This window comes from Homo sapiens, chromosome 1 (genome assembly GCF_000001405.40).
Source record: "Homo sapiens chromosome 1, GRCh38.p14 Primary Assembly".
Lineage (NCBI taxonomy): Eukaryota > Metazoa > Chordata > Mammalia > Primates > Hominidae > Homo > Homo sapiens.
In genome coordinates this window covers 26,777,710-26,801,192 of record NC_000001.11, presented here as the reverse complement: position 1 = coordinate 26,801,192, position 23,483 = coordinate 26,777,710, and the positions used below count along the sequence as shown (strand labels likewise).

Genomic DNA, 23,483 nt, shown 5'->3' with positions numbered 1-23,483 from the left:
TCGTGTAAACTTACAGAGTACATGCTCTCTGCCTCACTTACCTTTTTCTAAGCACACAAATAAAACTTGAATTCATTCTAATCATAAAAAGTTCAAGTAGGGCTGGGCACGGTGGCTCATGCCTGTAATCCCAGCACTTTGGGAGCCCAAGGAGGGTGGATCACGAGGTCAGGAGTTCGAGACCAGCCTGGCCAACATGGTGAAACCCCGTCTCTACTAAAAAATACAAAAATTAGCTGGGCGTGGTGGCGGGCACCTGTAATCCCAGCTACTAGGGAGGCTGAGGCAGGATAATTGCTTGAACCTGGGAGGCGGAGGTTGCAGTGAGCCGAGATCGCGCCACTGCACTCCAGCCTGGGTGACAGAGCAAGACTCCGTCTCAAAAAAAAAAAAAAAAAAAAAAAAGTTCAAGTAGTGAGATACAGAGCAAGAAGCTTCAGTGTCCTTTCACTCCCCAGAATTTATTGCTTTCTGCCTTAATGTTTCTGTGTCTGCTAGCAACTCTTATTAGACAGTTATTTGAGGACAGGAGGCATAGCTGAGTCATCTTTATTCCCCTAAAATAGGCATTAATAAACAATTACTGAAAGAATCAATCAGTTTCAAATCCCTTGAGCCTGCACATATTACATTTTCAGATGACAGTGAGAGGGTCTATTCAATAAAAGTAACATTTTTCCAGGAGGACTGGTAAAGGTATGTCAAACACTCTCCTCCCACCTTCATTAAAGAACAAAAAAAAGCATCTACTTCTAGGTACGTGAGGCTGAGGCGTCTGGTTTCTGTTTTAGCAGGGTCTCAGAAGGAAATGACTTTTCTCTGAAACTGTAGACACCCCACCTAGCTGTGGCATTGTTAGGCCTCAGGGTAAACAGGAAACTTCCTGCCTTGGGTCCTTCATGTCCCTCTCCCAGACTATTAAAGAGACTGTTAATAGGATGGTAAAAGGACAGCTGCTGGTCATAAAATCAGCCCATTCCTTAGCTCCTTAGAGAACAACTAAATCCCTGCAAGGTCAGAGAGAAAACCTTGTCCAGCTCATGCCAGGTGCACCCACCTAGCTGGGCTCCTGTTACAAGGTTTCTGGGCATGATGAGATCTAGTGTGAAGGTTAAACTGAGACTGCCAGAGCAGTGACATCACACCTACTCTGTGGGGTCTGAGTCACCTCTTCCAGTAGAGGAATAATCAGTCCTGATTATCCCCCAAAAGGAGGCAAAGAGGAGAGCGAAGAACCCAGTGCTCCTACCTCGGCAATAAAGAGCTGAAACAGGACCCCAACACTTCCTGCACGCAAGGTGGAAGTCTCTGGATTTGCAGCTGTTGGCAAGGAGAAAGGGAACAGTTTCTGCCAACTAACTGGAGGGACACTAGGGCAGGGGTGATCATCGTTTGCCAAGAAGGGCACTTGGTGTCTTGGCAGAAGGCAGAGGGCTGCCCTGATCTGTGTGTACATTTTCAGAAGCATTTGACTCTGAACCAAATTCTCTCAGCTGTCCTAGTGCTGGGGCGATGGATGGGAAATGCTTATTGGCCAGGCTGACCAGAAGCTCCAACAGAGGGTGCTGGGGCTCAGCCAGGAGCTTCCCTTCAGCTGGCAAGTTGAGCTTTCTGTCATGGTCAGAGGGAGTGTGTCAAAATTCCAATTCTTGAGGCTTTCCAGAAGCTGCTTATGATTACCCATCTGTTTTGAAGAGTTTCTGCTTACTGGATGTTTTGGCTTAAATGGGAAATAAAAGAGGTGATGGATGATACAGAGCCAAACTCTCGTCTGGCTCAAGGAATGGGCAAAAGTAGCTCAGCAGGGGCCAGTGATCTTACTACCATTATAGTGATAGGCTCATGACCAAACGGGGGCCAGGAAGCAGGGCAGATACCATTTCATTCCACCTTGGACTTACGTACAATTTACCAATTCCTGCCGCCGTGTTGGCGCCTCTGACCCATGTCTACTGATCAAGTAAGCAGGCATCTGAGAACGGCACAACAGGCACCTTATCTGCCAGATGTTACTGCTTTCCCTCATTGAAAGGAAAGACCACCTAAATTACTCCCAAGAGTTGCACTCGGTGGAGGAGGAGTTTCTTCTAATTGCTGAAAACAGGAGAACTGGATATTTTCTCCTAAAATCACACATTTAAGCCTCTACATTAGCATTTAGACTGGGGTGATTCTGTTGTTTAAGGCAGTTCTTAAGATGTTAGAGCAGAAAGGGACCTACAAGAGACTGCATCATTCACCACCACCCCCTGAAGAATATCATCATTTCCCATGGTTTCAGAGGTGGTAACTAAGGTTCTGAAAACTCTCCCAAGTCACATGGCTGGTAAATGGGGTTTTACTGAGAGGACTAGAATCCAGGGTTCCTGATGCCTTCTTCTTACCCTTTTTTCCCCCAGCTGATTTATATTATTTTAACTTTTTAAAATTATTTTACTTTTTGCCACATGGAAAGATTTGTATTATTTTTATTTTTTACTTTTTTTGAGACAGAGCCTCACTCTGTTGCCCAGGCTGGAGCGCAGTGGCGCAAACTCAGCTCACTGAAACCTCCGCCTTCCAAGTTCAAGCAATTCTCATGCCTCAGCCTCCCGAGTAGGATTACAGGTGTGTACCATCATGCACGGCTAATTTTTGTATTTTTAGTAGAGACGGGGTTTTGCCATGTTGGCCAGGCCGGTCTCAAACTCCTGGCCTCAAGTGATCTGCCCACCTCGGCATCACAAAGTGCTGGGATTACAGTGTGAAACGTCGTGCCTGGCCTGTATTATTTTTAAAAAGGCAATTCATTGCATGTATAACTGAAAGAAGTTTAATTTGCATATCTTTGTAAGTTTTTTTCATATAAAAATACATGCACAAATCATAAAAAAAAACATCAGAAACAATGTCGCATTTGGAAAAAATGGTCCCACTTTATTACTGCCACTACACTGTTCAGGCCTATACCATCTTGTGTGGACTGTTACCAGCCTGTCAGCTAATGCCTTTGATGAAATTTACACTTCAATAAATTGACATTTAAATTTACACACAGGTCAATGGTAGGTTTAAGACTGTCTCTGCTATGTTGATTGACTAGACAGATCCAGGTGTATTTTAGACTTGGAATACGACAATCTTCACTTACAGAGAAAATAGTTGTCTAAAATTTGCCCTAGCCAGGACCAGAAGGGGCTCTCTAGTGTCTGACACTTCTCCCATTCCTGACCAGCTTTCAAAGAGAAAGAGAAAGATTATAATGGACACAGTAATGATCCCAGGGCAGCAGAGGCAGTTCCAATGTGTATTTTTACTTTCAGACCCCTGGGTTAAGTTGGCTTCCAACCTGTCCCTGGAGAGTCCAGGTCATGTCCAAGGCAGGAAGTTGCAATGTAGGAGTAGTCCCAGGAGCCAGTAAGTCAGGAAGTAGCCTAGAATGTATCGTGTGACTGGAGAACAGGTTTTCCAGTGATACAAAAGTCCCATGATAGGATTTCTGGGGACCTTTTGTCCTGGTGGGGAGTCCTCTGCAAGAGGCTTCCAAGGCACAGTCTTTAAGGATCTCAACAGCGGCTCTTGATCCTGAAGCAAGTGAGCTGGAAACCAGTACATAATAGGAGTGGAGGAGCCCAAAAACCTGGTGAGAACCTAGAAATCATGAGAGGGGAATATCCAGACATTTACTGGAATGTCACTGACTCAAATTGGACCAGCCCGGGGACTTCTCTACTGCTGGGTGAACTATGGTCCTGTGACTAGAAATGTATTACACTGGAAAAGAAATTGAACACAGCTTAGGATCTGTCTTAGAAAGATGTATGTACAGCAGACAGGCATCCTCCATATTACAAATAAACATAGCTACAGACTAATTACATTAATTACTATTAAAATAATGGGCCAATTAATACTAGAAACTCTATGGGGTCTAATTTTAGCCGAGGGCCTGGACTCTAAACTCTGTGATATTGATTTGGGGATTGGGAACCTGAGGTGGTTCCCTTATCCCATGGGATGGCAAAGCAGAGGGAAATGGGCAGAAGACCCATTGCTTGAACATTCTCTCTCCTATTGGAGTTCAGACACAAGTTTCCAAATGGCCTCCCTCAGCTAACCTGGAAACTTTAAGCTTTGCTGGCACACATTCTACGATTTAATCTAGCTAAAAACACGGAATGCTACTTTCTATTTCCTCTGTGTCTCTTATCCATACAGCTTGGAGAATTTTAGAAACAGCCAATGTGCAACTCCAACAGGAAGAAACTGCTAAGAGGTCGGCATGGGGAAAAAAGATGTCCCCAGGGTGGGGCCACAGCCAAGAACAGAAAATCAGATATAAGATCAAACCTTTCCCATCCCTCTCTATCACCACCGCCACCACCCAAAACATTGGTTAAGGTTATCTCCTCTGGAAATTGGGGGCCTGCCTGAGTTGAGAACCTCCTGAAGTCAACAGTCAAGAAACCAATATGGATATAACTATAACTGTGTATTAGGGAAAAAGATCCCAGAGATATCCTCCGTGCTTATTCCTGTATCTCAGTCCAATCAGGTCCTTTCACAACCCTCGTGTTTTTGCATATGCCCTTCCTTTTACCTAGAATGTTCCTCCTCTGCTTCTTATATGGAAAATCTCATTCTTCAGGACCCAGCTGAAATATGATGCCTTTCTCAAGTACTCCAGTGAGTTACCTACTTCTTCGCCTCCATAATACTTTATCTGAGCTTTAAAAAAAAAAATCTTGCTGGGCGCAGTGGCTCGTGCCTATAATCCCAACACTTTGGGAGGCCAAGGCGGGTGGATCACGAGGTCAGGAGATCCAGACCATCCTGGCTCACACGGTGAAATCCCGTCTCTACTAAAAATACAAAAAATTAGCCAGGCATGGTGGCAGGTGCCTGTAGTCCCAGCTACTCGGGAGGCTGAGGCAGGAGAATGGCGTGAACCTGGGAGGTGGAGCTTGCAGTGAGCTGAGATCATGCCACTGCATTCCAGCCTGGGTGACAGAGCAAGACTCCGTCTCAAAAAAAAAAAAAAAAAAAAAATCTCAGGCCGAGCGTGGTAGCTCACGCCTGTAATCCCAGCACTTTAGGAGGATGAGGCGGGCAGATCACTTGAGGTCAGGATTTCGAGACCAGCCTGGCCAACGTGGTGAAACCCCATCTCTACTAAAAATACAAAAATTAGCTAGGCGGTGGTGGCAGGCGCCTGGAATTCCAGCTACTCGGGAGATTGAGGCAGAAGAGTCGCTTGAACCCAGGAGACACAGGTTGCAGTGAGCTGAGATCGCACCACTGCACTCCAGCCTGGGCAACAGAGCGAGACTCCATCTAAAAAAATAAATAAATAAATAAATAAATAAAGTAAAATAAAATAAATCTCAAAATAGCACTCCCTTTTCTATCCCACTGTACTATAATTTATGTCAAATGTCTGTCCTCCTATTTATACCATGAGACCCCCCAAGGCAGTAATTTTTTTTTTTTTTTTTTTTTTTTTTGAGATAGAGTCTCACTCTGTCGCCCAGGCTGGAGTGCAGTGGTGCAATGTCAGCTCACTGCAACCTCCACCTCCCGGGTTCAAGCAATTTTCTGCCTCAGCCTTCTGAGTAGCTGGGATTACAGGTGCCTGCCACCACGCCCGGCTAATTTTTGTATTTTCAGTAGAGACAAGGTTTCAACATCTTGGCCACGCTGGTCTTGAACCCCTGACCTTGTGATCCACCCACCTCAGCCTCCCAAATTGCTGGGATTATGGGTGTGAGCCACCGCGCCTGGCCGCAATTTTGTCTTATTTATGTTTCATCCTTAGAGGTCTGACCCAGAGTCTGGCATAAAGAATAACCCTAAATAGTCATTGAATGAATAAATTCAGTATGGATCACTCAAACGGGAGATGTTAGCTGCCTTCCCTGTCCTTGGCCAAGGGGTTTTGCCTGTATTCACATCCTTATCCCAGTCAGGAATCCACCTCACCTGAACATGCATGCACAGACCTCCAAACAGCAGCAGCACTGCAGCGTGGACCACGTACACAAACACCTGAGGACTGAGGAATCCAAGATCGGGCTTCTCTAGGGTCTTATTGTTCTTGCTCCTTTGCAGCCCAAGTGTAAGGCAGAGCCAAGGGTGAGTGGTCACGTATGTCCAAGTTGCCCAGGCAACCAGTATAGCCACTGGTGCAGCCAGTAGAAAATTGGGCACCTGCTTGAGCTCATAGTATTTCAAAAAGCCAACATTCCAGTAGACATCCTGGATATAGCTGTATATTAGTGGAACATCCCAGAAGCACCAAGGCGGTTCATTTCCCTCTGCAATCCGGTAGCCCTTGTCTACAGCTAACTGTACCAAAGGCTCAGGAATGGGGCGGGCTGAGCCTGGCAGACAGAATTGGGTGTAGGCATAATACTGAAAGAGGGCAAAGGGAAGGCCAAGTGTGAACACCGACAGAAACAGAGAGGCCATCAGCTTAAAGAGCTGTCTCAGAGGATTCAGCATCGTTAGAGAAGAGAAAAAGCCTTGGCATTGAGAATGCATGAGGAAGCCAACACTGACCAGCCCGTTGGAGCGTACCCCAGTGGCAAAGGCAAAGAGGAGTACACTAGTCCAGACTCGGCCCCTCTCCAGCTGCCCCATGGCACTGAATGTCAGGAGGGCAAACAAAGCTTCTGAGTAACCAGCTGCCAGGAAGACATTGGCAGGGCTGAGACAGAAAAGCAGAGCTGCATAAAAGGACTGGTGGGGACAGTGCAAAACCAGACAACCCAGGTCATGAAGTGCAACTGCAGCCAACATGAAGAACAAGAAATTGAGTGATGCTACCGAAATCAGCAGGCAACTGCGTAGACTCAGTAACCCCCGTAAGGGTCTCAACAGTTCAGTCCCCACCAGCAGGGCCAAGGGGAAACCAGGAAAGAAGGCAAAGTTGTGCTCATACAGGTAGCCATGCTCAGCAATGAACAAGAAGTGTTCAGCATCCCAGTGAGACAGGCCGCCCAGAAGACCTTCCACGAGTTGGTCCACAAAGCCTGAGGGGGCCAGGCGAGGAGGAGAGAAGGCTTCTGCATGGTGATCTGGGATGATGGCATTGAAGAGGGCCTGTGGAGTAAAGAAAAACCAGAATTTTGGTTGAGTAACTGGAAGAAAAGAATTGCCATTTAATAAAATGAGGAAGAAGGCCAGGCTCATGCCTGTAATCCCCACTTTGGCAGGCTGAGATGGGAGGATTACTTGAACCCAGGAGTCCATGACCAGCCTGGGCAACATAGCAAGACCTTGTCTCTATAAAAACTAAAAAAAAAAGTCTGAGCACAGTGGCTCACGCCTGTTATCCCGGCACTTTGGGAGGCTGAGGTGGAAGGATCACTTGAGCCGAGGAGTTTAAGACCAGCCTGGGCAACGTAGCAAGACCTTGTCTCTACTAGAAATAAAAAAATAAAAATTAGCTGGGTGTGGTGGCACATGCCTGTAGTCCCAGCTACTTGGGGGGGCTGAGATGGGAGGATTGCTTGAGCCCAGGAGGTTGAGGCTGCAGTGAGACATGATTGTGCCACTGTATTCCAGCCTGGGTGACAGCATGAGACCCTGTTTCAAAAACACTTAGAACTCTTCTTGAGGACTGAACCCTGGACATGTTAACATCTGAAGGCTAGAAAGAGGATGAAAATCCAGCAATAAAGAAAAAAAGGAACAGTCAGTGAGGTGGCAGGGAACCCAAGAGAGCATTAGAACCAAGGGAAGAAAAGGAGTGATCAACTCTGTTAAATGCTGCTGGTAGGTCAAGTAAGATGGGGGCTGAAAACTGACCACTGGATTTAACAATGTGAAAGTAACTGGTGACTTTGACAAGGGCTATTTCAATGGAGTGGAAGAGAGAGAAGTCTACCTAGACTGGGTTCAACAGAGAATGGGAGAAAAGAAACTTTGAGGAGTTTTGCCATAAGGGGAAGCAGAAAAATGGGGCAGTAGGTGAACAACAATGTGGGGTAAAGTGAAAACTTTTTTTAAGGTGGGAGGTAAAGGTTTGTATGCTAGTGGAAATAACCCAGTAAAAGGGTATGCAGGAGAGAGGGGAGAATTGCTGGGTAGGCAAAAAGGGTACAAAGGTAGAGGAGCCAGCCTTAGAGAAGAGGACAGACGGTTCATCCAACCTTCAGTACTGAAAGCACAAAGGTGCAGACATAGGTAGGCTGAAGAATGTGATGGGCGCATATGGAAGGTCTCTTCTAATGCCTTCTATTGTTCTGAGTTGTCATTTAGGAAAACAATTTGTTACATGTTACATGTTTTTCTCTTTCCTCAAATCTCTAACACCCTTTCCCCAGAACTCACACTCAAGTGATAGACTCTTTTCAGGACACTGCACACATCATCTTCATTAATAATGAAATCACCAGGAAATCAATAGAAGTAGTGCTGGGAAGAGTGACAGTGAACCAGGAGCCAAAACCGTCAAGGATTAGCTGTCACTGACAGAGACGACAGCAGCAACGAAGGGTAACTTAGGGATATACTCTGATGGCTTGAGCATTGGAAGTGGGGGGATGATAATTAAATCGCATTTACTGTTAGATTTCTTTTTGCTGGCCGGGCGCGGTGGCTCACGCCTGTAATCCCAGCACTTTGGGAGGCCGAGGCAGGCAGATCACGAGGTCAGGAGTTCGAGACCAGCCTGGCCAGCAAGGTGAAACCCGGTCTCTACTAAAAATACAAAAAATTAGCCGGGCGCGGTGGCGGGCGCCTGTAGTCCCAGCTACTCGGGAGGCTGAGGCAGGAGAATGGCGTGAACCCGGGAAGCGGAGCTTGCAGTGAGCCGAGATTGCGCCACTGCAGTCCGCAGTCCGGCCTGGGCGACAGAGCGAGACTCCGTCTCAAAAAAAAAAAAAAAAAATACAAAAATTAGCTGGGTGTGGTGGCGGGCGCCTCAGCTACTTCAGAGCCTGAGGAGGGAGAATCATTTAAACCTGGGAGGCAGAGGTTACAGTGAGCCAAGATCGCGCCTTTGCACTCCAGCCTGGGGGGACAGGGCGAGACTCTGTCTCAAAAAAAAAAAGTCTTTTTGCCCTATTAGATCATCAGCTACTTAAGAGAAAAGAGACCATGTCTTTTTACACTTACCACCTAGCACAGTTCTTGGAACGCAATAGGTACTTTAAAAATTTTTGGTGGTTGAATGAACTGCCTAGAGGAAATATACTGTTTCCAAAATTACCACCCGAATTAGAGCCCAGCTGTCCTGGTTCCCTATCCTGGATGCTGACTTGCAGCATTGCTCCTTTGGTTCTGCCAGTAACCCAGCTGATGCTGGTTGAGAGACATCACTGAGTAAGTCTCCCTAGCCTGGCAACAGGAGCATAGCACCATTTTTAAGGCTTTTTAACTTTTTGGTCAGTTTCCTTATCAGGCCACTTCAAACAGTAAAAACAAACAGGATAGGAGTGACAGTCACAGATAAACAGCCCTAGCCTGCAGGTGGACACGTTTAACTAATCTCGAAACCCAGCAGAGTCTGCCATGCCTTATGTAGTGGGAAAGGAGAGAGGAAAGTTTCCACAAAGGGACCAGTTATGAGCCTCAGAGAGAATGGTACAGGGATAAAAGGTACACATCATTATGTGAATCTAACATCCCTAGGGTGTTGACATACATTCAACAACATTCATTCATTTATGAACATACTGAGCTAGGCACCAAGCACTGTGCTAGGCAGCAAATAATTCATATATACGTGATATTTTATTAAAATGTGTATCAAGGGGAGCCTCGGAGGGAAAAGGGAGCTGCAAACGGGCAAGTGCACTGAGAGTTGTGTGTGGGTGAGGCAGGAAGGGCAGGCACTCGGGGGAATAGGAGGAACTATTACATATCCAGATGGTTTTAGGACTTGCACATTGCCACGTTTCTCCCACTCAACTGACACAATGCTCAGTCTCCTAGTAAGGGGACACAGGGCAATACTTTGAGCTGTCCCACCCTATAAGCATCTCTGGTTACGGAACATCACAGTCTGTTGGAGAGACCACTAGCTCAGGAGTTAGGAAACATGGGGTCAAACTCCAGCCCTTCTCTATCTTGCTATGTGGCTTTGGGGATGTCACTTAACCTTTCTGGGCCTCTGCTGCTTCATGGGTAAAACAAGATCAACAGACCGTGTTTCTAAGATTCCTGACAACTTTTCAGCTCTAAAGTCTATGTCTCTGTGGTTCCAACCACATGGAGGGGCACACCTGAGAGGTGGAAAGGAGATGGGGACACTTCTTACTGCCTAGTCCAGTCATGTAGCAATAGCACATTCAGGACAAAGGATGGGAGACTGACCTGCAGCATCAGAGTCAGGATACGGCAGCTGACTGCAAACCTCAGCACCTCCTTCCGGGATGGGTCCTGGGGCCACATCCTTTCACCACCAGGAATTCAGGGGTGTTGCTACCAGGATTGAGCTCCCTCAGGCCTCTAAACCCCAAAGGAGGAAAATGTCACACATCGAGTGAAAGCAAATTCTTGAAAGCATTCGTCACTGGAACCTCCCCTCTCAGAATTACTATGACAAACTTAACCAACCACCTAACTTCCCAGATGAGGGGAAAGCATCTTGACAGCAAATGGGTTCAGTAGGTGTCACTGTGAAGCCCTGAACTGTCGTTGGTAAAGTTCCATACAGCTAAGCAAGTAGCTGGAAAGCTAAGGTCACAGAAATCTTTTAAAGCCTATTGGATGCACTTCTGCAGGAACTAAAGATCTGGGTTCAACTCCTGACTCTGTCACTTACAAGTTCTCATTAGTCCCTCTGAGCCTCAGTTCTTTATATAAAAAATGGGAGCAGACTTTTTTTTTTTCCTATCTCACAAAATTGTCATGATGGTGAAACAGACCAAAGTGTGAAGTTCTACTCAAATCTGTGTTGTGGTTGCTATTATTTGGCGTGTGCCCTTTTCCTCTTGCCCAGAATAATAAACTAGGTCCCAAACCAGAGTCCCCAAAGTGGGGCATAAAACCATACTAGAAGACCATAATGACTCCACACTCTAGCTTAGCTCTCTGATGTGTGTTCAGCTGGTCTGTTAAATTAAGTGGGGAAGGAAAAGAAAACCACCACTCAGCAGGACCTCAGCCAGCTCACACTGCTGAAACAAACTGAGGGTGAAGACAGAGTAGACTACCAGGGATGGAGAAAACTGTTATTTGCCATCTCTTTGTTGGGATGGTAGCAACGTATAAACAATCGCAAAGCCACTCCGAGGCAGGGAATGCACCTTAAGGCATCTTTTATAATTCCTTGAGCTAAAAGGAGTCATAAAGGCTCCTCAAGAACTTTCAAACACCAGCCTGGGAAATTTGAAAGGAAAGCAAAAGCATCAGAGGCAGCTCATCAATTTGGGATGAAGAACTATGCCTAAAAGGAAAAAAAAAATTTGAACTGAGAAATTTAAGGAGGACGGCTGGAAGACTCTTTTTCTTCTCTTATCTGGCGAATACCTAAAAAACCTGTATCACTTGTTTCTGGAATTCTCTGATCCTCACTAGACAGTGTGCTATGCCCTCATTACATTCTGCCCTATTGCCGTTATTGCTATTGCTTATTTAAGTTGCTAAGGGCAGGGGCTTTACATCACAACTATATCCCAGGGCCTAGAACACAAATAGGCATCTTAAACCTGTGTTCTGAATGAATGGAAGTGGTAGGGACAGGATACAGCATCAGCAGTTCACTGACTCTAGATATGAAATCAGTGCCCCAAGTATTCTTCCCATCATATCTCATGTCAAGAGCAAGACGACAAAGTCACAGAAGCCACAGGAAAATAAAATTTCCCCAGAAAGGGAGCCAAGTTGGCCAATGGCAACAGTACTCTTTCCTTGGCACAAGGGGGCGCCTGCTGCTTACTCCATCGCCAGGAGGCCTGGAGGAAGGGAGGGGCCCCCAATTCCACACCGGTTGGCTCACGAAAATTCGGTTCAAAGGCAAGCTTCTGAAAGCCCCAGACAGTAACGATAGTTTGTGAATCTAAACGTTTCCAACGTATGACTCGCTGAATCGAGAGAAATCACGGAAATGGGCATACTCAACCTCACGCGGCTACTCCTTCCCTATCCTAGGGCGAATTCACTCTTTTTTCCTCTTCCTTGGCTTCCCACGCGCATGCAGAAGAGAAGCTGGGATCAGAAAAGCACCTAACCCACCTCTGCCACTTGACCATGCTTGCATTCTTCCTTTCCTCTCTCGAGTCAAGCTCTAGCCTCAGCGACTACAGATGTGTGTAGCCCACACTTTGCTTACAGGTAAACCAAGTAAAAACAAAGCTAGTCAATTCTCCCTCTCAGCTAATTGCCCACCTCACTTCCCAACAACCCCTTTGCCAAATCACAGACTCTTAACTGGCAGGACACTTACAGATCAACTAGTTTCACTCTTCAAAAATTTTCCCGTGAGATAAATAGGCTCCAGAGATCTCATCAGACACTGTGAGGCTAGTATAATTACCATCGCCATTTTATGGATATGGAAACTGAGGCTCACTGGGGTCAAGTGACGTACCCAGGGCTACTTAAAGAGGCTGTCATGTTTTCTGCTTCTTAAACCTCACGGTACCAGCCCGCATCCCTCGCCAAAGGGTACGCGCCCTTTCCGAGCCAGGATTATGACCCAGGTCACCCAAACGCCTAGCCCAGTACTTCCATGCCGCAGCCTGCCCTTGCTAGGTATGCTTAGGGTAGTTGGGCCCTATCTGAGAATCTGGGACATCCTGTTGAACGGCAGCTCTGGACCCTCTGGGTAAGACTAACACCCCCTGCGCAGGCTGGAGAAGTCGCTCTGACCCAGGGTCCTCAGAGCCAAAGGCCTCGTGGGGGCTGCCTTCTGTCAGCCCAGCCGTGTCCGCAACCCGTTTCTGGCCGGCTCCTTTTGGACACAGTCCCTTCTGGGTACTAATCATCCACGCTCACCCCAGAGGGGCCACGGCCCAAGGACCACTCCCGAGGGAGCCTGCAGAGCCCCACCAGGCCACAGGGCCGGAAGCAGACGAGGGCGGGAGGCTGGAAAGGAAGAGGCGGCGCCCGAGGCTGCTATGGCGGAGGGGCGGGGCTCCCCGCTTCTCCGGGCGTCTGTCTCATTTCTACCGGCTTCCATTTGACAGCTTCCCTCCCGCCAGAACTCCAGGGCTCCCAAGCTGGCGCGGGGTCCTCAGCCCCTGCCCGTCCCGACCTCCCCGGCGGGGACCGAACCTCAGCTCCTCCATCCGGGGCCCACGCGGCCCGCGCCTGCGCGCTGGCTCCGCCGACGGCGTCCCCGCCCCGCTCCTGCCCGGACTTGGAGCAGCCCCGCCTCCCTGCGCGGCGGCCATGTTGACTCCGGGCGAGCGGGATGGGGGTCGCCGCTCGGCGCCTCGCCTCGTAGCACCTTCCCACCTTGGTGACACCTGAAGAGTTCTCTCGCACTTCGCTCTCCTTCAAGGCCCCCCGCCACCCCGCCTTCAAATAGTGAGCGGAGGCTGCTGTCTCAGAGTCAGTGCTCTTGCCCCAGCTCCCGCTGACGTTCACTGAGTTCCCGGTGTGGGCCGAGGCTCTTGTAGTCGGAGGCTGACCCGCAGCCTCTTCACAGAAACCAGAGCCGCGCTCTTCCTGCTGTCAGGCAACAACAGCTCAGCACAGGGCCTGACACACAATAGATGTCCTCTGAATAGCCAAAGAAAAACATTCTTGGGGTTTCTGTGGCCGGCAGCGGCACCCTGCGTCCTGGGTGTGAAGAAAGTGGGGGATCCCCCTGATTTTCCCCTCCTCTATCTACCAGAGACCTTCTGTCCTACTTTAGTCCTCAGCCCCACCTCAGGTGGCTAATGAGGATGGTGAAGAAAACCTCAGAGAACACCCTCCAGGGCTCCTTTCACCTCCCTCACCCAAGCAGTTTCTCTCATAGGAAGTGGGGCCAAAAAAAGAAGAAAAAAAAAGAGGCGAACTCAACAAAACCGTCTATTGGGGGGAGCGGCCAGTTTGTACCCTTGTAACGGAAACTGTTAGAACAACTTTGCACCCTCCTTAAAGGAAACAGATGATAAATCCTTCTCCGTTGGTGGATTTCTTGTTTCTCAGGATTCCAAAGCCTTATGTGGTTTCAGTTATCTGCCCTCCAAACGAAGCCAGGGGCCGGGTTAGCCTCTGGCCACAGCCTGGCTCAGGGAGGGGTTTATCTTCTGCAACGGCTACTCATGTGGGTGGGAACAAAGAGATGGTTGCTACCTCTCCAGGCGAAGACCAGCCCACATCAGTCTGTGGGGGCCTGGGACTGTATCTCTTGACTCTGTAACTCATTTCAGGCCCTGAGACCTAAATTGCCTTCAGATATCTGTTGTGTGCAAGGTGGAGAAAAGGCAAATCATATTTAGTCGTTGTGTGTTGGAGAAGGGGGAAAAAATGGAGTTTCATGGCCCTTCCCCCAGGTTTTTCAGTGCCACGCACTTGTTCTCAGCTCCAGAGGCCTGTGAGTAACGTGGCAAAGCCTGGGGACACACTTGTGACTGGGGCCTAAGGCTGTGACTTGAATCTCTAGAAGTCCACCATGAGGCTCCAAGCAGCACTCTCTCTGCAAAGACAAAACTGAGAAATGAACTGTCCTTGCTCTGTAAATTCACAAGGGGAAAAAAGACATGCATTCTCAGGGTTCCCTCTGTCCACATCAAATTCTCTCAAAAATCTATTTGTAAAAAGGCCAGGGGTCTCTCAAGACAAGTCAGAATGTTTTTTAAAAGCTCAGCTGTCACCCTGTAGAGGTAGAACTTTATCCAGATTTTCAGCTGTACTTTCCTGCAATTTCTCTTTTCCTTCTCTGCTACCCAACCCCCTCCTCTTCCGCTCTGTTTCCTGTTTCATTTTCTGACTTCTGCTCTGACAGGAAAACAAGGAAGCTGAATCTTGTGCTCTCAAAGCCCTGACTCCCTGGTTTCAGATTGGAAGAAGGCTAGGTGGGATAGGAGGGGATTCTGGGACTCCAAGGCTTTGAGTAGTGACGGAGGCAGCCTCTCAGTGTTCTTGTAGAGTCTGCAGCTAAGATGGAGCCTGCATCTACCCAGGGAGCCAGCTGAGCTACCAGAACTGTGGAAAGCAAGTGAGAAAGAGCCATATCCCAGGCTCCAGAAAGACTCCACACTTCCCAGCCATTTCCATTAAGAAGCACATATCCCACATCACCAAGAAACAATATCACATACAAATCCCTAACCAGAACAATGCAAGCAATGCATTACTATTCTAGAAGCTTAGGATTTAAGAGGGTTACATCATTTCTGTTCTTTGAACTTGCCTGGCTCTGCTCTTGCTATTTTCCCTGCTTGAAGCACTCTACTTCCAGACCACCCTTTGGCTAGCCCATTATGTTTGGGTCTCCGGAGAGAAGTCACCTCCTTAGAGAGGCTTTCCCTGTACTATCCCATCAGTCTGTTCTGTTTTTTTTTTTTTTTTTTTTTTTTTTTAAAGATGAGGTCTCACTATATTGCCAAGGCTAGTCTGGAACTCCTAGGCTCAAAGGATCCACCCACCTTGGCCTCCCAAAATGCTGGGATTACAGGTGTGAGCCACTGCGCCCGGCCTCTGTTTTCTTCATAGCACTTAACACTATCTGCTTGTCCTGTCCATGAATTTTACTTGTTTCAATGTCTGTTTCCCTATTCTAGAATGTAAGCTTCTGAGTGTAATGGAGGAGCAAGGGCTTTGTTCACCAATGTATTTCCAGTTAGAACAGTGCCTTGCACACTGTGTGTCTTCAATAAAGATCTGGTCAATAAATCAATTTCTTTAATCCTATACCTATATTTTATGGATGAGGGAGCTAAGGATCACAAAGGGTAAGTGACTGGCAAGAAGTCACATAGCTAGTGGTAGCGATGGGACTTGAATTCAGGTCTCCAGCCTCCCAGGCTGGTTCTCCCACTCTACACTATTTTAATCTTTCACAGATTTACCTCTTTCCCTCTCTTCCATTTTTCCCATATGTAAGAGTCTTTACGGGCTATGCTAAGATGGGCACACCAAGTCTTAACAGCTCTGACCTACTCTTTCCTCCATCAAATTCCTATCTTATCTGTTTGATTTGTTCAACAGTACAGGAATGCCTACTATGTGATGGGATGAAGATGCAACACTGAGCAAGATAGAAACAATCCTTGCCCTGGTGGAGATGATATCTACCTCATAGGATTTATAGTGCTTGGCATACAATGCTCAATAAAGATGGGCTATTACAACTCACTGAACAAAAAAGTGATTTTCCCACTGAAAGTGTAGAGAAGGAAGTTAGGTGGTTCTCACAGAACACTCACTTCCCTGGAGCAACTGACATTTCTCTCTGTAGCTGCCTTGCCTTGCTCCTGCCTCCACTTCTGGAAGTGGCCTTGGCCCCAGGCTGGGCAGAGGACCAGCCCAGTAAGTAGCCCAACTACTCTCAGCAGTTCAGTTTCTAGAAGCTAAACTTTCCATGGCCCCAGTCCTATGGGATTGGAATAGCTGATCCTAATCTGGGATGCTGGCTCTGATGTCATGCCATTGTGGGGCGAAAGTGACCATACTGGCCTGCTGTACTTTACCAGAACTTTATGCTACTTCTTTTTGCTGTGGGATAAAAGGCATTCATTGGCAGTTTCCAAGATGCTGGGTGACATTTACATCCATCCTGACACTTGGGGTGACACCAGTCAGGTCTCATATACCAAAAGCATCCTTTTTGGCCTCTGCCCGATCACTTGAAGATGCCCATCCACCCAAGGACAAAGACTCTGCCTTGCCTCCAACTGCAGTACCCAAACACTCATCATTTAAAGCCCATGGTCACTAGGTATTTTTCACCATTCCTTCAGTGTTTGCCTTTCAGTGGTTAGAAAACCTTGACCCCACTGAGAGGCCTAGTGGGAAGGCCTTAGCCACTTGGGGGTGGCAGTGGCTGCAAGGCAAAAGAGCCAATGAGGTTGAGAGTATTGTTTAGGCTGGACTTGGCTGCTCTCCAGCTATGAAAGAAGGTTAAGGTCATTTGGGGGGTGGGGAGGGAGGAGCCTGGGAAAAGAACTACTGGCCACACCCCTGGGTTCTCTGCTGGCTAGGTTCTATTTACTTCTCAAAAGCAAATTACTCACAGCTCACTGGCCAGCAGTTCTCTTGGCCATGGTAACTCCAGTCAGAAACTGGAGACCAGGCTAGGCTCTCCCTGCATTGCAGGAGAGCAGATGAAAGGAACCCAGGAAACCGAACTCCTAGGTAATGCTCCACACACAGCCCAGATATGCAATTTCTAGACTAGCAAACGGAGCTCGAGGCCTAGAACAAAAATAGCCATTAGCAATATTGCTTACCAAAATTGTAGATATGAAAAGCTTCCCATTTACCTTTTTCTAGAAGAATCCTAGGAACGCATCTTGGTTGACAAAGGTTTTCCTCTCTCAATTGAGAAATACTAATTATTCAAATCCTGTTCCTGACCCAAATATTAACAGCCACACTTAGTCTGATGAACACTTGATTGAAATTCTGAGGACAATTTTACCTCGTGCTAAAGACAATAAAAACAAATCTTGCTTGCTGAGCTCCACAGCTAGATCCCTTACTCCTGGGTTGGGTTCTCATCCAGAAAGGAGGTAGTGTGGTATATTAAGAAAAGCATGATCCTTGGAGTCAGGTGGAACTTGCTTGGTGTATGAACTTAAAAAGCCTTTCACTTTTCTTAGCCTCTTTCTTCAACTGTAAAATGGGAGCCACATACTGACTTCACAGGCACAGGATTGTTGTAGGATTGTGATGTGCTATGTCCAGAATATAAGTAGGTACACAATAGAAAACTGTTGTTTCTTGTTTCAAATTTCACTTCTAAGTGTCCACAATGATAGCATTTTTTCTCTTTCTGCTTCTGATTTCTCCTGAGGAACTTGAGGCTTCTCTATTGTTTCCCTAAGGAAGGGGGTGAACAGAGAAACTATATATTGTGACATTAGCCTCATAAAAGCAACTGCATCTAGCCAACATCGACAGTATCATTCAACTACTACTTAAGTAGATGCTATGTGCCAGTCTATGTGTTAGCACCAGGATGCAGCAGTGAACAAAACACCCCTCCCACCACCCTCAGTTTACATTTCAGTGGAAGGTGACAGGTAAGTACAACACACAACAGGCCAGACAGTAACAAGTGCCACAGGAAAAATAAGGCAGACAAGGGAAACATAGTGGGGGGCAGAGATTGCTATTCTAAGTAAGGTGACCATGAAAAGCCTTACTTATATATTTGGACAAAGACTTGAAGCAGTCGAGGACTTGAGCCATGCAGTTATTTGGTGAGAGAGTATAAAGTACAAAGACTCCAAGGTGGAAACATCTCTATACAGTGGGGTGAGCAACGGGCAAGACAGATGGTGCAGGAAAGGTAGAGGTAAGCTAGATAACTCAGGGCCTTGTAGGCCACTTTTTAAGAGTCTGGATTTTTACTTACTGAGTCAGAAGCACTGAAGGCGTTTGATCTGACTTACCTTTTATAGGGGTCCTTTTGGTTGCTCTGTTGAGAATAGGTTCAACCAGGCAAAGCAGAAGCAGGGAGGCCAATTTGGAGGTATTTCAAGAATCCAAGATATGACAGTATCTTGAACTACAGTAGTGTGGGATTGAGGATTATTTTATGAAGAGTGCTAACAGATTGGATGTGGAAGTGAAAGAAGTCAAGGATTTTTTTAGCCAAGTGATAGAATGGAGTTGCCATTTACTAAAAGGAAAACACAAACAAAAAAACCAAAACTATGGGAGAAGCAGGTTTCTAGTGGGGGAAGACAGGACATTTTAGCTTTGGCATGTTCAAAGTAAACTTCCAAGCAGGGATGACAAGAAAGGTGGCTGAATGCTCTAGTCTGGAGTCAGGGAAAAGAGCCAGTCCAGAGATATTATAAGTGATTAAGTTGGAGATTGCCTCCAGATAAATGGTTGTCTTATTTTGGAATATAGTAAATAAATGACAGGGTCCAGGAATGCCACTATTTAGGGGAGATCTCACACTAAGGGAGGTTTGCAAAAACAGGACTATCCCCCTGCCCCCCGACAAAAGGTCAAGTTTTAGTTTGAAAACAATAAAAAGCTTCACAAAAGTCTTACCAAGATTTAATGTACATTTATTCTTAACACGTGGAACATATAGTATAAAGATTTCATACTGAATAAATGATATTCATTAAGCCAAAAAAGGAAAAAAAGGAGGAATTTACATCAAGTTTTAGCTACATTGTTGAAATACAAATATGCAGATTTTATCACTGAAAAAATCTCAATTGTGTTTCTTCATCAGAACTTCAACTGAACCTAGAACTTTTTCACACCTCGATTAGAAAGAAAACAAAACAAAACAAAAACCCAGAAAAAAATAAACTATAAGTTGATTGGCTGCTGAGACAGCAAGGACTTTTTACAGAGACCTGTACAGCATCGCACCAAGAGGGGCGATATCTGGCAAGAGATTAAATAGCTGTGTCTCGCTTTGTGCAGGTCACCAACTTGTTAACTCGTCATACTATAAAGGGGTAGCTGGGAGGAGGACCAAACTGTGGGGATCCAAGGGTATGTGCAATGTACAACGTCATATATATACACACGTGGCAGCGTAGCCGCTGCAGCTAAAGGTTAAAACCAGTTCTAAGAGGTGATCTCAGGGTTATTCATACAATCAAGGAGGAGAGAAAGAGGTCAGGGTGTTGTAGGTTCACACATGATACTTTGGGGGAAAAGCCTTTTTTTTTTTTCTCCTCAACGTTTAACTAAAAACATTTTTAAAAACTACAGCTTGCTGCTGACCCAGCGTTTTCTGTTTCCATGTGAGACATTATTATTACAGTATGTTTACAGTATCAGGTGTACAGTACAGTACATGAAAGGGTCTACACTCTACTGCACAGGCCTCTCCAGTGAACAGGGTCTGTTCACAACTGCGAACTTCTTGGCTCCTGCAAGATTGTGAATGTACAACAATAAACCACACACAGTTCAGCAGTCACCTTTTTTGTCCTTCAGAATTTTTTTTTGTATTTTTTTTTTTTTTTTTTACCATTAAAAACAGTTATGAAATGTGGCATCCCGTTGATGCAAGGACTGGGAAAGCCATTTTTATTTTATTTTTTTTCCCCAAACTCACTGTAAACAACAGTAACTTTGGTTAAAATAAAAAAAGTCTTCTATGTAGGCAGAGCTTTGTCTTTTCAAAGAGGGTGGGGTAGGGTCCTGAGGGGAGTAAGGTGAGGACAAGGAACAGAAAGGCGTGAGGTGATGGAGGGAGGGGAGGTGGAAGGAGGAGAGAGAAACAGGAGAGACTTTTTCCCAAGGGAGAAGCTGGACAGCACAGGGTAAACTGGATTCTGAGGTGGTTTTGCATAAATAAAGGGCAACAGTCAGTTTCTAAGTTCTCCACACACGCACACACACACGGGGGGGGGAGGTGTCCCACGGCTGTCATGACTGGCCAATCAAAAACAGTACATCACAAATGACTTGTGAAACCAATGAGTTCATCAACGGTGATACCGAGATGTCCAACAGCCGTGATTCGTACAGAGTAAACTCTGAGTGGTTCTCGTCCACCTTGGCCAAGGCAAGCAGCGCGCGGGCAGCCCGCCGCATCATGTCCACACTAGTTGGCTCAAAGGGTGGGTTCTGCATGTGGAGGAGGCTGGCCTGGCTCTGCTGGAACTGTGTGGCGGCAAGGCTGTCCTCTAGGAAGCCCAGGAGGTTGCCGATACTGCCCTTCTGCACTGCAATGGCACGAGCTGCCAGGCTGTCCCCCTGAGCCAGGTTGGCCAGCAGTACCACAGCCATCTCCCGGCACACCGGGTTCTTTCGGTCACTGAGGAAGCGCACCATAGTGCTATACAACTTCTCCAGGCGGCTGAAGGGGGGTGTGGCCAGAATCAGGTCCACATTGTTGTCCTGGATGCTGAGTTTGCTGAGGGTTTCCAAGACCAGTCTCTGCGGGGAAAGGACGGCATTGGGGCCCAGGGTGGAAAAGGGGTCCTGGGCTTCAGCTGAAGGGCAAACTGCCCAGTGTAGGAGTCCGTCCAGGACAGGCAGGCAAATGCTCTCGGGGTATGGAGATAGGTCCAACTGCCCCGAGATGTTGGCGAGTGTAACCAAGGTGTTTTCCCGGAGCATCTCCAAGCAGTCCCACCACCACTCCACTTTGTTGCAGCTCACCCCTTGGTCCTGTTCCTCCTCCTTTTCATAAGTTAGTGGTGCCTGCTTCCGTTCTGGGTGCTTGTGGTGCAGCAGGATCAGCTTGCCCAGGATGAGCAGCAGCCCTGGGTGTTTGGACATCTCAAAGTCATTGCCTGGCACAAATGACAGGCTTCGAATGGTATTGGACACACAGACGCAGCGCTTGGCAAGAGAATCCTGCCAGTCCAGAAGGGTACACAGTGGGGTCTCATCCTTACTGTGGGGTTCGTCCTCTAGGATCTTGATGTTCCGGTGGCTCTGTGCTGGGCTAATGCCAAATGGAAACTTGCTGCTCTCCTTGATGGCCTCTGAACTCTTAGCTCCATCCTCGGTCAAGGTGCTAGACCGAGTAGACAACATGTCATCCATAGTGGCTGTGATCCGTTTTTCTGGAGGTCCATCAGGTGGGGGCCCCTCCTGGTCTGTTGTCCCTGGTGTACCCTCTGCTGTTGTCACATGCTTCCGAGGGGCTGGTGGGCAGGGTGCGTGAGGCCGGGAAGGCAGCAGCTCTGTCTTGCTCTCGAAGTGGGTCTGGATATGCTCAGTGGTGTCCCCCCCACCAATCCGCCAGTGCAGCAGGCCACTGTCAAACTCCTGCACACGCCCAAGCTTATCTGAGCAGTCCACCACAAATGGATCATTCTTCTGTACGATCTTTACTGGAAGCTTGTCAAACTTACTGATCAGCTTCTCCTCACTATTCTCTGAAGCTGGCTTGTCCTTGCCTGAAAAGGCTATCTCCTCATCATTTTCAACTACTTCCTCTTCTTCTTCCTCTTCTAGTTTAGGACCTAGAAGTTCTTCTTCTTCTTCCCCACCCTCCATGGGAGCTGGACTAGACACCTTGCTGAACCTCCCAGGATCCAGTAGCGTTCTCTGTCCTGGGTCACCCACCTCATACTCCTTTAAAATGCCAAAGATCTCAATCAGGCATCGTCGGAAATATTCTACAAGGAGCTCTAGCAACCCTGGGAGCTAAAAAGAGAAAGAACAGGAAATAAATTAAGGGAGAAAAGTGGCCTAAGAACAGAATTATTGACTTGAGAGACCTCCCCAAGTCTTCTGTATCAGTTGGGAGAGGCAGAGTTGCTCCTTTCCCAAAGGTTCTCCACAGAGCAAATTGTTCATCTTAATCTCTTCTATGCCCAACACAAAGTTCTTTCTTCTGCCCAACCTACCTTCACGTAAGCCTATCTCCAGGAACACTAGCCAACAGCTTTGCACCTCACCCACCAGGGCCAATCATCTCTTAGCCTTCTCTTTTCCCAATTAATCTTCTGCTTTTCTTCACCAGGCCAGTTTTCAACCTGGTGGTCATTGCCATTATCTCTTTTAGGACACTCTCTCCATCTCACTGCCAAGTGGAACCCAAGCTTAGGCATGGTGACTTAAGCTAAGAGAAGAGAATGCCATGTGGGCAGATGTTCATGGCTCTCTTCTCCAAGCTCCCCACAAGTCCAGGGGGCTGGAACTCCATGGATCTTGCAGCATAAGGAGTGGGACGAGGCTTCAGCTCTCCAAACACTGGTCCAAGCTGGTGCTACAGAGACCCAAATTCCACCTTGGATAATATATAGGCCATTTATTTACCTCTAGAAGAAAACACTCCTCTCCAGTCACAATCTTTGGCTGAACAGTAGAGCAGATGGAAAAAAAAATAAGGGCTTTCGAATTAGATCTAGGGGCTGGAAGCAGTGGCTCACACCTGTAATCCCAACACTTTTTTTTTTTTTTGAGATGAAGTCTCACTCTGTCATCCAGGCTGGAGTACAGTGGTGTGATCTCAGTTGGCTGCAGCCTCCGCCTCCTGGGTTCAAGCGATTTTTCTCCTGCCTTAGCCTCCCAAGTAGCTGGGATTACAGGCGCCTGCCACCACATCGGGCTAGTGTGTGAGAGTGTGTGTGTGTGTATTTTTTTTTTTTTTTTTTTGAGACAGAGTCCCGCTCTGTTGCCCAGGCTGGAGTGCAGTGGCACGATCTCAGCTCACTGCAACCTCTGCCTCCTGGGTTCAAAGTGATTCTTCTGCCTCTGCCTCCCAAGTAGCTGGGATTAGAGGTGTGTGCCACCAGGCCCGGCTAATTTTTATATTTTTGGTGGAGATGGAGTTTCACCATATTGGCCAGGATGGTCTTGAACTCCTAACCTCAAGTGATCCACCCACCTTGGCCTCCCAAAGTGCTAGGATTACTGGCGTGAGCCACTGCGCCCAGCCTAATTTTTATAGTTTTAGTAGAGATGGAGTTTCACCATGTTGGCCAGCTGGCCTCAAACTCCTGACCTCAAATGAT

The 23,483-nt window shown here is 47.2% G+C and overlaps 2 protein-coding genes across 14 annotated transcripts in view, besides 7 other annotated features; both read right to left on the bottom strand.

The window, feature by feature from the left end:
• PIGV (phosphatidylinositol glycan anchor biosynthesis class V) lies at nt 534-14,139 on the bottom strand. Of its 12 annotated transcripts, none has more exons than NM_001374484.1 (5): nt 13,387-13,644; nt 10,300-10,434; nt 6,987-7,080; nt 5,959-6,359; nt 534-3,630 (listed from the first exon to the last, which is right to left on the bottom strand). In NM_001374484.1, the coding sequence occupies exons 2-5, from the start codon at nt 10,375-10,377 to the stop codon at nt 3,349-3,351; spliced, it is 855 nt and encodes a 284-aa protein (NP_001361413.1). In that variant the 5' UTR covers nt 10,378-10,434; nt 13,387-13,644; the 3' UTR covers nt 534-3,348. The 12 variants fall into 12 exon arrangements, 10 of the variants coding, with proteins under 10 accessions (NP_001361413.1, NP_001361414.1, NP_001361407.1 ...); NM_001374485.1 differs by lacking the exon at nt 13,387-13,644 and adding an exon at nt 12,374-13,005; NR_164651.1 differs by having other exon boundaries at nt 534-3,578; nt 5,959-7,080; nt 13,204-13,644.
• Nucleotides 860-1,109: an enhancer, noted in NCBI's record as "active region_522". NCBI's record gives its function as "activates an Ori minimal core promoter by ATAC-STARR-seq in GM12878 lymphoblastoid cells {active_cell/tissue: GM12878}" and the evidence as "EXISTENCE:reporter gene assay evidence [ECO:0000049][PMID:35858748]".
• Nucleotides 11,667-11,796: an enhancer, noted in NCBI's record as "active region_521". NCBI's record gives its function as "activates an Ori minimal core promoter by ATAC-STARR-seq in GM12878 lymphoblastoid cells {active_cell/tissue: GM12878}" and the evidence as "EXISTENCE:reporter gene assay evidence [ECO:0000049][PMID:35858748]".
• Nucleotides 12,491-13,317: an enhancer, noted in NCBI's record as "NANOG-H3K27ac-H3K4me1 hESC enhancer chr1:27114367-27115193 (GRCh37/hg19 assembly coordinates)". NCBI's record gives its function as "activates a minimal SCP1, AML or CMV promoter by ChIP-STARR-seq in primed H9 embryonic stem cells {active_cell/tissue: H9 hESC(primed)}" and the evidence as "EXISTENCE:reporter gene assay evidence [ECO:0000049][PMID:30033119]".
• Nucleotides 12,604-12,803: an enhancer, noted in NCBI's record as "active region_520". NCBI's record gives its function as "activates an Ori minimal core promoter by ATAC-STARR-seq in GM12878 lymphoblastoid cells {active_cell/tissue: GM12878}" and the evidence as "EXISTENCE:reporter gene assay evidence [ECO:0000049][PMID:35858748]".
• Nucleotides 13,104-13,313: a silencer, noted in NCBI's record as "silent region_491". NCBI's record gives its function as "represses an Ori minimal core promoter by ATAC-STARR-seq in GM12878 lymphoblastoid cells {active_cell/tissue: GM12878}" and the evidence as "EXISTENCE:reporter gene assay evidence [ECO:0000049][PMID:35858748]".
• Nucleotides 13,364-13,803: an enhancer, noted in NCBI's record as "active region_519". NCBI's record gives its function as "activates an Ori minimal core promoter by ATAC-STARR-seq in GM12878 lymphoblastoid cells {active_cell/tissue: GM12878}" and the evidence as "EXISTENCE:reporter gene assay evidence [ECO:0000049][PMID:35858748]".
• Nucleotides 14,324-14,473: an enhancer, noted in NCBI's record as "active region_518". NCBI's record gives its function as "activates an Ori minimal core promoter by ATAC-STARR-seq in GM12878 lymphoblastoid cells {active_cell/tissue: GM12878}" and the evidence as "EXISTENCE:reporter gene assay evidence [ECO:0000049][PMID:35858748]".
• Nucleotides 19,089-23,483, bottom strand: part of ARID1A (AT-rich interaction domain 1A) — an 86,090-nt gene continuing 81,695 nt past the window's right edge. For both annotated transcript variants that reach the window (NM_006015.6, NM_139135.4), the window contains exon 20: nt 19,089-22,170. In NM_006015.6, coding sequence (NP_006006.3) covers nt 20,437-22,170 — 1,734 coding nt within the window. In that variant the 3' untranslated portion in view covers nt 19,089-20,436. The remainder of the gene's footprint in view (nt 22,171-23,483) is intronic.